The sequence below is a fragment of the Homo sapiens genome, chromosome 7, assembly GCF_000001405.40.
Source record: "Homo sapiens chromosome 7, GRCh38.p14 Primary Assembly".
NCBI classification, from domain to species: Eukaryota; Metazoa; Chordata; class Mammalia; order Primates; family Hominidae; genus Homo; species Homo sapiens.
The window spans coordinates 128,121,305-128,133,413 of NC_000007.14; the positions used below are offsets into that span (position 1 = coordinate 128,121,305).

The window sequence follows — 12,109 nt, forward strand, 5'->3', positions numbered from 1 at the left end:
AACGCCTGCTACCAAGGTAAGGCATCTTGGCACATAGCAGATGCTAGGTTAATTGTTAATATTATACCCTTTTCACTCTGGGGTGGGTGATGAGGGCTCTGGGTGCATCAGAGGTGGCCGTGCCCAGCCCCCCTCCCCCAGTAAATCTGGCCTTGAGAGTCCCCGAGGGAACATACAGGACACACGGGGGCCTCAGGGCTGGGCTGGCTCCTTGAGGCTCTTACCATTTTCCATCTTCCCTTTCTTCACGAGCTACAATAATTTAACAACCTCGGGAGCGAAAAGATAGCTTGGGGAGCAAATGTGGACTCACTGAAATTAAAGTTAAATTGGAATAAATTAAATTAAATGGCAACTTTCCGGTGCTCATCTCTCAGGCCAAATTATTGTGCAGCGTTTCTGGCTGCAGAGGAGAGGGCTTTGGCGGTGGATTCTGGCACTTCCTGGCGGCTCCCCCAGACGCCAGAGTGTGGGGTGGCCCTGGGGAGGCAACTGCCTTTGGCAACTTCTCCTAGCTCAGGGAGGAAATAGTGGAGAGCACAGGCAGCCGGAGGCTTAAGCTGGCTGCTCCCACCTCCGCCTCTCCACGCTTCCTGCTTCCACCATGAAGCCGCTGGTACGGTGAGGCATGACCGCGCTACTGGCAATCCCCAGCCCTGGGCCCTTTGGCTTAAGGAGGTGCAACCCTGATTGGCAGCCATGGGGCTTAGAGCACCCACTAGGTTCACAATGATCGTGACCCCTTAGGCTTCTAAGGCATAAATTATAGTTGGGGGAGGTGGGAGTCCCAGCCGCCCTGGCTGCCCCGTCTCTCCTAACCTGCCCTGCCCTGCACACTTCAGGCCAAAACAAACCAGATTCCAGGGCAGGCTGGGGCTCATGGGCTGTACTTCCTTCAGCTTCCCATCCAATTCCCCCAGGGTTCAAAGAAGAAAATTCGCCACAAGCACAGAATTCTTTCAAGTCCCAGTTTTTAAATTCATGTGCACGCTGCCTTCTGCTCGGTAATGTATTCATGTTGATTTTAATGTGTAATGTTTGACACTATTTACCAGTGAGTAAAACCGACATGCCTGGAGGCTGTGCCCCTTTATCCTGGATCTTCCGGGAGGCCCTGGCATGAGGCCTGACAGCCCCTGGGTAAGAATGAACCACAGGGTCTGTCTGCCCTTCTCCCCCACACCCCGTCCCCCCCAATGCCCCCCCCACCCCCCGGCCGGCTCCCAGGCTGGACTCCCTAGAAGGTAGGAAAATCCCAAATTTACAACAACGTGTGTGAACCTTGAGGACAGTGTGCTAAGTGAAATAAGCTGGTCACAAAAGAACAAACACTGTGGGATTCCACTCAGATGAGGTGCTTAGATTAGTGAAATTCACAGACAAGGAAAGTAGAATTGTGCTTGCCAGGGGCCGGGGTCTGGAGAGGAACGGGGACGTAGTGTTTAACAGGTGTAGAGTTTCAGTTTTGCAAGATGAAAAACAGTTGTGGAGGTGGAGGGTGGTGATGGTTGCACAACATGAATTACTTAATGCCACGGGAACTGCACGCTTGGAAGTGGTTGAGATGGCACATTTTACATTACATATCTTGTACCACAATTTAAGAAACAAACAAACAAGGCCATCAAGGGGCAGAGGTGGCCTGGCGTGTTTACCCACCCAGGGTCTCACTGCGGGGCAGGGCCAAGGTCAGGGTCAGGGGCTGACCCTCCTATTCTTGAAGAAGATCCCGGACCTGCCCTGCTTTCTAAGGAGGTGGCGGCAGATGCAGTAGATGTGGCTCTCTAGCCACCTGGGTTGTCCCCAACATCGGGGCTGGAAGAAGCCCTGGAGAACAGTCATTCCAATCTCTGCATTTTACTGATGAGGAAACTGAGGCCAGGAAGGGGGAGCTACCTCTCGAAGTCACACAGACAGCGATGGCCAGCTTAGAGGGCTTATTTCTCTCTTCTGGTGACCCAGCAGCTATGAAAGGCCAGAGTAGGTCACGGAAAGCCCTTCCTCGCAGCACCAGCCCCTTGTCACTGACCTCTGGCCCCTCTTCTAAAAGAGCACCAGTAACCTTTGCCGCTCCTCAGGCTGCAAGCCGGCTGATTAATTAACTAACCCTTGTTAAGGGCTCAGGCACAGGCTAATGGGCAGTAGGTATTCTCATTATTATTTTTAATCAGACTATGCAATTTTATAGCTCCCGTCACCCAAGGCTATTGCGTGTCTCTGTGTCTCTGGAAGTTAATTAAGACTGCCAGGGATGGGCTCACAGAGGGATAGGAGGCCCAGGGCTGGGCTGCGGGAGAGCGCAGAGATACTGATTCCCTCAGGGCCCCACTTAAGGGGGAGATGTGAGAGGGTTGGCAGAGGGCAGGTCAACCTGTGCTGAGCCCCAGGGTCACCTGACGGAGCCCACCCCAGGGAGGCAGGAAATGAGCTGCAGCACTCATAGCGGCCCCAGGTTCCAGTCTCTGGCTCTCTTTCACAGAGAGCATCTGGGCTACATGAGCTTAGGAAACTGCGCTCCTGCAGGGCACCCCAGTGGCTGGGTAGCCTTGCTCTGGCTCTGTCATCCAGGCTGGAGTGCAGTGGCCCCATCAGGGTTCACTGCAGCCTCCGCCTCCTGGGCTCAGCTTTCCAAATAGCTAGGATTACAGGAAAGCACCACCATGCCCAGCTAATACTGATTGATTGATTGATTGAGACAAGGTCTTGCTCTATCACCCAGGCTAAAGTGCACTGGTGCAATTATAGCACGCTGCCACCTCAAACTCCTGGGCTCAAGAGGTCCTCCCACCTCAGCCTCCCAAAGAGCTGGGAATACAAGCATGAGCCACCGTGCCCAGTCTGTGGAGCCTCTTAGAACATGCCTTATCACATCACACTTCTCTAAAGATCACGCTTCATAGCTCTTCCTACTCTGGGATCAGAAAGATCCAGACTTTCCATGAAGGGAGAGCTGGAAGGAGCCTTTTATGAAGACAGCAAAAGGATTCACTGAAAACTACAGGAATGAGACCGCTATATGGTTTGCTATTAACCAAACACAATTATTCACAACAAACTATGGACAATATATAAATTAGCCTGATATAAATTTATGTTTTTTATGATTTGAAGTTTGAATTCATTTCAATTACAAGTTAATATATCAATACTTGAATCTATTCACCTTTAAAATTATCAAAAATAAATCTAAAGTCTCCATTAACCCAACAGTTTTGCCCCTCTCCTATCTCCAGAGGTAGACCACTATTATGATTTTGGTGTGGATCCAAGAGATTAAAAAATTTTTTGAAATTCATTAGATATACCCACAGAAAATAGATAGTATTGTTTGGGGTATGTGTTTTTTAAATAATATAAATGGTATGCATATTCTGCAACTGTTTTTTTTTTACTTAACGATTTTTTTTTTTTTTTTTTTTTTTTTTTTTTTACATCTTAGATTTGAAGATTTTAGATAGATTTAAACCAGGTCCATTCCTTTTGGAATGAGGTGCAGCAGAGTCTTCTGTCCTAAAAATATATCACATTTTGCTTATCCATTCCACAACTTTGCTATTTCAAAAATACTTCAATGATCATTCCTGGGCATGGTTCCCCATACACGTGTGAGTATTTATTTAGTGCTGACACACAGAAGCATAATCACTAGGTTATAGGAAATGCACATTTTCTGCTTTGAGTAGATACGATCAAATCACTCTCAAGAGTGGCTAAGATTCACACCCTTCCCCCAGCGGTTATATGAGCATGCTCATTTCCACACGCCTCAGTAGCACTTGATGTTAATAAAGTATTTTTTGTCAAGCTGATGATTAAAAATAGTATCTCCTAGGAGTTTTGATTTGCATTTTCTTCATCACTCTTGGGGTTGAGCATCTTTTCATGTGTTTATTGGCCATTTATATTTTCTCTTTTGTGAATTACACATTAATATCCTGCTCATTTCTTTTCTCTTGGGTCATTTTTCTTTTTCCTATTGATTTGTAAATGCTCTACAAATGATGAATTTCAATTCCTTTTCTGTACACTTAAAATGTTTGTCACCAGTCACCAGTTAAAAGGCAATGTTGATTGCCTTTTAAATGTGTTTATAGTATTTTGTACCTTGTACAAATTTTTAATTTTGATTTGTAAAATTTTCTTTATGATTTTTAGACTTTGTGTCTTGTTTAAATACGCCCTCTTGGCTGGGCACAGTGGCTTACTCCTGTAATCCCAGCACTTTGGGAGAACCAGGCAGGCGGATCACCTTAGGTCAGGAGTTCAAGACCAGCCTGACCAACGTGGTGAAAGCTACTAAAAATGCAAAAATTAGCTTGGTGTGGAACATTTCTGTAATCCTAGCTACTCAGGAGGCTGAGGCAGGAGAATTGCTTGAACCTGGGAGGCAGAGGTTGCAGTGAGCCAAGATCACACCACTGCACTCCAGCCTGGGTGACAAAGTGAGACTCCATCTCAAAAATAAATAAATAAATAAATAAATAAGCCCTCTCTACCCCAAAGTGAAAAAAGATGGTCTTCTTAATTTATTCTAATAATTTTAAAGTGCTTCTTTTTTACATTTAGATCTTTAATTCATCTGGAGTATACTTTTGTGGCAATAATGTCTCAGAAATAACTACATTTCCTAGTCTCCTTTGAAGCTAGGGACTCCCATGTGACCTAGCTCTGGCCTAGAAAAAGCAAGAAGTCTATGGGGGAATTTCTGGGAAAGTTTTTCTGCTATAGGCACTGCCCCTTCCTTTTCCCAATTTCCCTCTTTCACTTCCTGGAATGTCGGTGTGTTATTCTTCAGTAAGAATTTCAGAATTTGTGTGTCAAGTGTCATGAAAAATCTTATTGAAAGTTTTATTGGGCTTTGTATCAGCTTTTAGTAACAGAGGCAAACAGATACTTAATATAATAGGATTTTAAATTTTGCATAACAGGTAAATCCAAAGGGATGCAGACCAGAGCTAATGCAGAGACCCCATGGTGTCCACAAGAAACTGAGCTTCTTTCTTTTTTCTCTACTTTTGTCAGTATTTGGCTTTTATCTTCTTGGACCCAATATATACTGGGCACAGCATCTTTTTTTTTTTTTTTTTTTGAGACGGAGTCTCGCTCTGTCGCCCAGGCTGGAGTGCAGTGGCGCGATCTCGGCTCACTGCAAGCTCCGCCTCCCGGGTTCACGCCATTCTCCTGCCTCAGCCTCCCGAGTAGCTGGGACTACAGGCGCCCGCTACCACGCCCGGCTAATTTTTTTTGTATTTTTAGTAGAGACGGGGTTTCACCTTGTTAGCCAGGATGGTCTCGATCTCCTGACCTCGTGATCCGCCCGCCTCGGCCTCCCAAAGTGCTGGGACTACAGGCGTGAGCCACCGCGCCCGGCCGGGCACAGCATCTTAACAGCAATATAAACTCGAAAAAGAACCTAATAAAAAATGTACAAGACCTATAATGGAGCCTTCCCATCCATGAACATGGTATCGTTTCTATTTATTCAACTCTTTTCTTGCATATTCTTCTGGAACAACCCTACTTGGTCATTGATTGATTAGTAATTCTGTATTTGTGTGTATAAGTGGAAGTGGCTGTAGTTTTCCCTCTTGTGCTGTCCATGTCGACTTTCAGGATCACAGTGATCCTATTATCAGAAAATTAGATTAAGACTTTCCCATCTCTTTTCTGTATAAACTGGAAGTTTATCCAAAATGAGTATTATGTAATAATTTAAAAGTTGGGGCCAGGCATAGTGGCTCACAACTATGATTGCAACACTTTGAGAGACCAAGGCAGGAGGATTGCTTGAGGGGCCGGGAGTTCAAGACCAGCCTGGGCAACAGAGCAAGACCCTGCCTCTAAAATAAATAAATAGGCCAGGTGTGGTGGCTCACACCTGTAATCCCAGCACTTTGGGAGGCTGAGGCAGGAGAATCATTGGAGCCTAGGAGTTCAATCCCACTCTGGGCAACAAAGCAAGAACCCATCTCTAAAAATATTTTTTTAATCTAAAATAAATCAATAGATAAATAAATAAATAAAAAAGCTTCATAGAACTCACCTTAATATACCCTCTGGGTCTGGTACTGTCTTAGTTGGGCAGCTATTATAAAATACCATAAACTGGGTAGCTTATAAACAACAGAAATTTATTTCTCATCATTCTAGAGGCTGGGAAGTCCAAGATCGAGGCACCAGTAGATGAAGGGTCTGCTTCCTCATAAATAGCACCTTCTATGAGGTGGAATAGAAGCAAACTAGCTTCTCACATGGTGGACGGAAGAAGCTAGTTCTCTGGGATATCTAATGCCATTCATGAGAGCTCCACTCCTGTGACTTAATTACTTCCCAAAGGCCCCCTTCTTTTTTTTTTTTTTTTTTTTTTTCTTTTTTGAGACGGAGTTTTGCTCTTGTTGCCAGGCTGGAGTGCAATGGTGTGATCTGGCTCACTGCAACCTCCGCCCCCCAGGTTCAAGTGATTCTCCTGCCTCAGCCTCCTGAGTAGCTAGGATTACAGGCATGTGCCACCATGCCCAGCTAATTTTGTATTTTTAGTAGAGACGGGGTTTATCCATGTTGATCAGGCTAGTCTTGAACTCCTGACCTCAGGTGATCCACCTGAGTCAGCCTCCCAAAGTGCTGGGATTACAGGTGTGAGCCACTGCACCTGGCCCAGGTCCCCCTCTTAATACCATCATGTTGGGGGTTCAGATTTCAACATACGAATTTTCGGAGAGACAAAAGCAGTCTGTCTATTGCAGGTACTTTTCGAATTTGGTCACTGACCACAATTTCGGATTTTTCCATGTTTCTTAGCTTATTCAGGTATTTTACTTCTTCTTGAGTCTATTTTTAAATTTATTTTTGTGTAGGTTTTCACATTTATTAGTAGAAAATTATAGATTCTTTATATTTTACTAGTCACTTTTGTCTGTGGATATAATCATTTTTGATTCCCGATGCTGTTTGTTCAGCCTTCTCATTTTTCTCTTTATTTTACTTATCCAAGGTTTGTCTGCATTGATAATGTTTTAAAGAACCATGTTTTATTTTTGTTCAGCAACTCTTCTACTGTTTTTCTTTCCTTAAATCTTGCTTTTATCATTATTCTTTCTACTTTTTTCATTACGTTGTTCTTTTTCTAGCTTCTTAATTTAAAAGCACAGCTTATTTCTTTTCAGTCTTTCTGATTTTCTCATAAATGTATTAAGACTAACTTTCTCTCTGAGTACAATTTTGGCTACCTCCTGCAAGTTATGTAGTGCTCTCATTTTTATTCAGTTATAAATCATTTACAATTTTCATTTTTGCCTTTTTCTTAACAAAAGTTATTTAGAGATTGTAATTCTTGCCATCTTAAAATCCATTTTGGTTGATATTAACATTGCTAATTCTGGCTTTCTTTTGAATAGATCTAATTGTATCAATCTCACTTAAGATTTTGTAGGTACAGGTTGAATATCATTTATCCAAAATGCTTGGGACCCGAAGTGTTTCTGATTTCAGACGTTTTTGGATTTTGGAATATCTGCATACACAAAAGGAGCTATCTTGGGGATGGGACCCAAGTCTAAATATGAAATTCATTTTTTTTCATATACACCTTATGCACATAGCCTGAAGGTAATAACTTTTTCTCTGAGTACAACTTTGGCTACCTCCTATAAGTTATGTAGTGCTCTCATTTTTATTCAGTTATAAATCATTTATAATTTTCATTTTTACCTTTTTCTTAACAAAAGTTATTTAGAGGTTGTAATTCTTGCCATCTTGAAATCCATTTTTGTTGATATTAACATTGCTAATTCCGGCTTTCTTTTGAATAGACCTAATTGCATCAATCTCACTTATGTTTTTGTAGGTCCCCTGTTCCTCTCAACTTGTAGGGCTGTGGAATGGACCTATTTTCTACCTAAGCTCTCATATGCATTGTCTCCTGATATGGTTTGGCTTTGTGTCCCCACCCAAACCTCATCTCGAATTGTAATCCCCAGGTGTTGAGGAAGGGTCCTAGTGGGAGGATCTGATGATTGGATCATGGGGGCAGTTTCTTCCGTGCTGTTCTCATAAGAGCGAGTGAGTTCCCACGAGATCTGGTGGTTTTATAAGAGGCTCTTCCTCCTTTGCTGTGTCTCCTGCCACCTTGTGAAAAAGCTGCTTGCTTCCCCTTTGCCTTCCGCCATGATTGTAAGTTTCCTGAGGCCTCCCGAGCCATATGGAACTGTGAGTCAATTAAACCTCTTTCCTTTATGAATTACGTAGTCTCAGGGAAGTTCTTTATACCAGTGTGAAAATGGACTAATACATCTCCCCTGAGACAAATACCCAAATTCTTGCTGCCTGACCCAAAGTGCTGTGTGTGTGTGTGTGTGTGCATGTGTGTGTGCGCATGTGTGTGCGCGCATGTGTGCACTCGCATTCTGGCAGCTTCAACCAATCTCCGGTCAGGGGTTCCTGGGTCTTTCCCTCCCAGAATCCACCTCTGGTCCTGAAGCTCCTTCTGGTACTGGGAGACATCCCAGGATATGTTTCTAACTGTGTTGACTCAACTTGTCTTTTCAATATCTAGATTCAAGTCTTCTCTTATTTCAGGAAGTTTTTTTTCAATTATATTTTAAATATCTTTTTCAGTCTCATTGTTTCGGTTTTCTCCTCTGGGGATTATAATTATGCAATGTTTGCCTATCTTATACATCTGTCATTTTCTCTCTAGTTTAAAAAACCACTTTATTTGTTTTATTTTCTCATTTAAGGGTGTCTGTTCTCCTTTGTATTCTTTGTCCTTGAGTCTTAAGTTCTGAAATGATTTTTGTCATTTCTATTATGGGAACTGGAAGTGGGATTTACATTTTAACAGGATCATTCTGGCTGCTATGTGGTGAATGGAGCATTTGGGAGCAAGAGAGAAACCAGGGAGGCCGGGTAGGAGACTCTCACAGATGCCCTAGGAAAATGTGGTTGCTTGGACTGGAGGGTAATGATGAATATTGTGAGAAGTAGTGATTTGGGGATGTGTTTTGAAGGTATGACTGCAAGAATATGCCATTGAATTAGATATAAGATTTAGAGAGAGAAATCAAGCAATTGGGACACTAGATGGAAGAAGCTGTCATTTTCTTTAATGGGAAACACTGGGGAAGGAGCAGCTTTGAGAGAAAAAGTGGAGTTTGGTTTTGGATATGTTAACTTTGGGTTACCTATTAGACATGCAATTAGAGAAGGCAATTGGATGTTTGAGTCTGGAGTCAGGGTGGAGGTTAGGGCTGGAGATAATTCAGAAGTCCTCAGCATATGATATTTAAATCCCTGGACTGGAAGAGGTCACTTCGAAAGTGAGGTAGGAGAGAGAGGAGAAGAGGTCTGAGCATGAGTCCTGGAGCTTTTCAGTACCTCAAGGTTATGAAGATGAGGAGGATCCAGCACAGAAGACTTAGAAGGAACAGCCAGCAGAGTAGACACAGCAGGGGAGGGTAGACAGCTGCACCCAGGGCTGCTGCAGGACAAGGAGGCAGGACTGGGAGAATGGGCCGTGGGAAAGTGGTTGGTGAACTTGTATTGTTTCCTGATTTGAGGGGATTCAAGAAAAAAATGAATCTTCCCCTTCTGCCTCCCCTCCTCTTCCCTTCCCTCCTTCCTCCTTTTCTCCCTGAATTATTCAGTCCAAAAGCCACTGGGTAGGGCTGGTTCAGGCAGGTACCTATGGCTAGGAGTTGGGTGGGGCAGCCTGGTACTGGGTGTTGGAGCATGAGTGGGTAAAGAGGGCATCTGTGTTTGTGTGCGATGGCAGCATCAGTAGATTGGTCACAGACGGAGATTGGTCAAAAAGCTAGTATAGTGAGGAGAGTAGGGGTTGTGCTTCTCACTGGTGGGAAAAAAAGAGTTATAAATACCAACAGTGGAAAATTAGAGAGAATTCTACAATGTTAAACTGGAATTGGACGCAGCAGTATAAACTAATGGCTACACACACACACACAGACACACACACACACACACACACACACACACACAGAGAAGATAGATAGATAGATAGATAGATAGATAGATAGATAGATAGATAGATAGATAGAGAAATCGAGATGAAAATCTGTGGAGAGAGAGAAATGTTCTCACTCTCCACTGAGAGGGCCTGGGAGCAGCACCATCCAATGCAAGGAGCATGCTGAGCACTCAGGTCTTGGCCCCTAAACACCACTGCCCCCTAAAAGGAACCAGGTTCCTAGAGAAATGGCTGATTCTGAGGCTAAACCAGAAACAGTACAGGGTAAGTCTGGAATATCTTGTACCAGAAAGTAGGGAAGGGCTCAGGGACATAGAGAGCCAGAGCGCCTGAATGGGCTCTCATAGGGCTCTCACATGCCAAATGTGGGAATATTTGAGCATCAAATTAAATAACAATAACAGATTATAACCCAGTAAATAAAGTGGAATCCATGAGCCTATACTGAGAGAAGCAGGGGCAGGGAGAAAGAGAGAGAGAGAGAGACGATGACAAAGCTTTTTTTTTTACAATAGAATGCCAACTAATAAATATAGAAGGAACAATGGAATTAGAAAAGTTGGCAGCCCTCATAGTAATAACTTACTCAGCCAAGAAACATCAATGGATGCTAAAACTAGTAAGTGGAAGTTTGAAGAATAACAGGATATTACAGAGCTTCAAAATACTTATTGACTACCATGGGGAAAGAGGCTTTCAGTGGTGAAACCTGGCAGTCGATACCTCAATCAACTAATCAAGGCTAACAACGTCACTATTGGACAAACTGAAATCATGTACCACCTGCCAGGACTCAATGAGGAACACCAGCATCACTTCTGTGATACTCCTGCCAGAGACGCATAGCCCGAATTGGGTTCACGCTACAAAATAACTGGCCTGTAATCTTGAAAAATATCAAGATCATGAAATTCAAGGAAAAACTGAGGGACTGTTCTAGACTGAAGGAAACGTGATGTGAAAACTAAGCAAAACATTGTGATCTTGGATTGGGTCCTTTTGGTAGGAAAGACATTATTGAGAAAATTGGTGAAATTTGATTGGCAGTGCAAATTAGGTGGCAGAGATGTATCTATGTTAATTTCCTCATTTTGCTAGTGTATTGTCCTTATTTGTAGCAAATGTGCATTAAAGTATTCTCGAGTGATAGGACAACATGTCAGCAACCTATTCTCAAATAGTACAAGGAAAAGAACATTTTTAATACTGTTCTTGCACCTTTTCAAGTTTAAAATATTTTAAAACAAAAAGAATAAAACAAAAAACAAATACACAAAAAAAATGGATGAGGAAGCCCAGAGACAATTCCAGGAAGCGGTTGGCTGGGTTTCTTCAAGTGCCAGTGAGATGAGAAATAAAAAGGCAGGATGGAGGGGAGGAGCTGATGTAGACTAACAAGATTCATACCGGTAAACATCCCGATTCCAACAGATGAGCCCTGGAAAGACATTTTAAAGATAATCAGGGATATCCGAATATGGACTGGCTATGAGATATTACCAAGTTATTCTTGCTAATATTCTAAGTGTGAAAAAGCCATTGTGATTATGTAAAAACACGTGGGGGTATTTTTCAGACGCATATTGAAGCACGTGGGAATAAAATGACATGAGGTCTGGCTAATAGTTGACAGAAAAGGGAGAGACACAACAAATAGAGAAAGACCTTTGATAATTATTGAATCCAGATTATAAGTGTTGTGTTAGTCGGCTCAGGCTGTTGGAGTGACTTTAAAAAACAGAAATTTATTTTCTCAGTGTGCAGGCTGGAAGTCCAAGATCAAGGTGCCAGCAGGTTTGTTTTCTCCCGAGGTGTCTCCACTTGAAGACAGCCACCTGGCCGTGTCCTCACAGTCTTCTCTCAGTCTGTGTTGTCTGTGGTCCTAATCTCTTTTTCTAAGGACACTGGTCATACTGGATTGGGCCCATCCATATGACCTCATTTTACCTTAATTACCTCTTTGAAGGCCCTATCTCCACATAAAGTCACATTCTTAGGTACTGAGGGTTAGGACTTCAACATGAATTTTAGGGGATGCGGTTTAACCTACAACAGGTATATGGGGGTTACCATAGTCTCTCATTTTGATGAATGTTTTTCATAATAAAAATTTTCATAATAGGCCAG

At 43.0% G+C, this 12,109-nt stretch overlaps 1 long non-coding RNA gene across 1 annotated transcript; it reads left to right on the forward strand.

Moving 5' to 3' along the window:
- The first annotated feature begins 580 nt into the window (after positions 1 to 580).
- Positions 581 to 5,058, forward strand: LOC105375493 (uncharacterized). Its single transcript, XR_927944.3, has 3 exons — positions 581 to 616; positions 921 to 1,004; positions 4,929 to 5,058. It is a non-coding gene; the product is annotated as an uncharacterized LOC105375493 (long non-coding RNA).
- Positions 5,059 to 12,109: the final 7,051 nt, after the last annotated feature.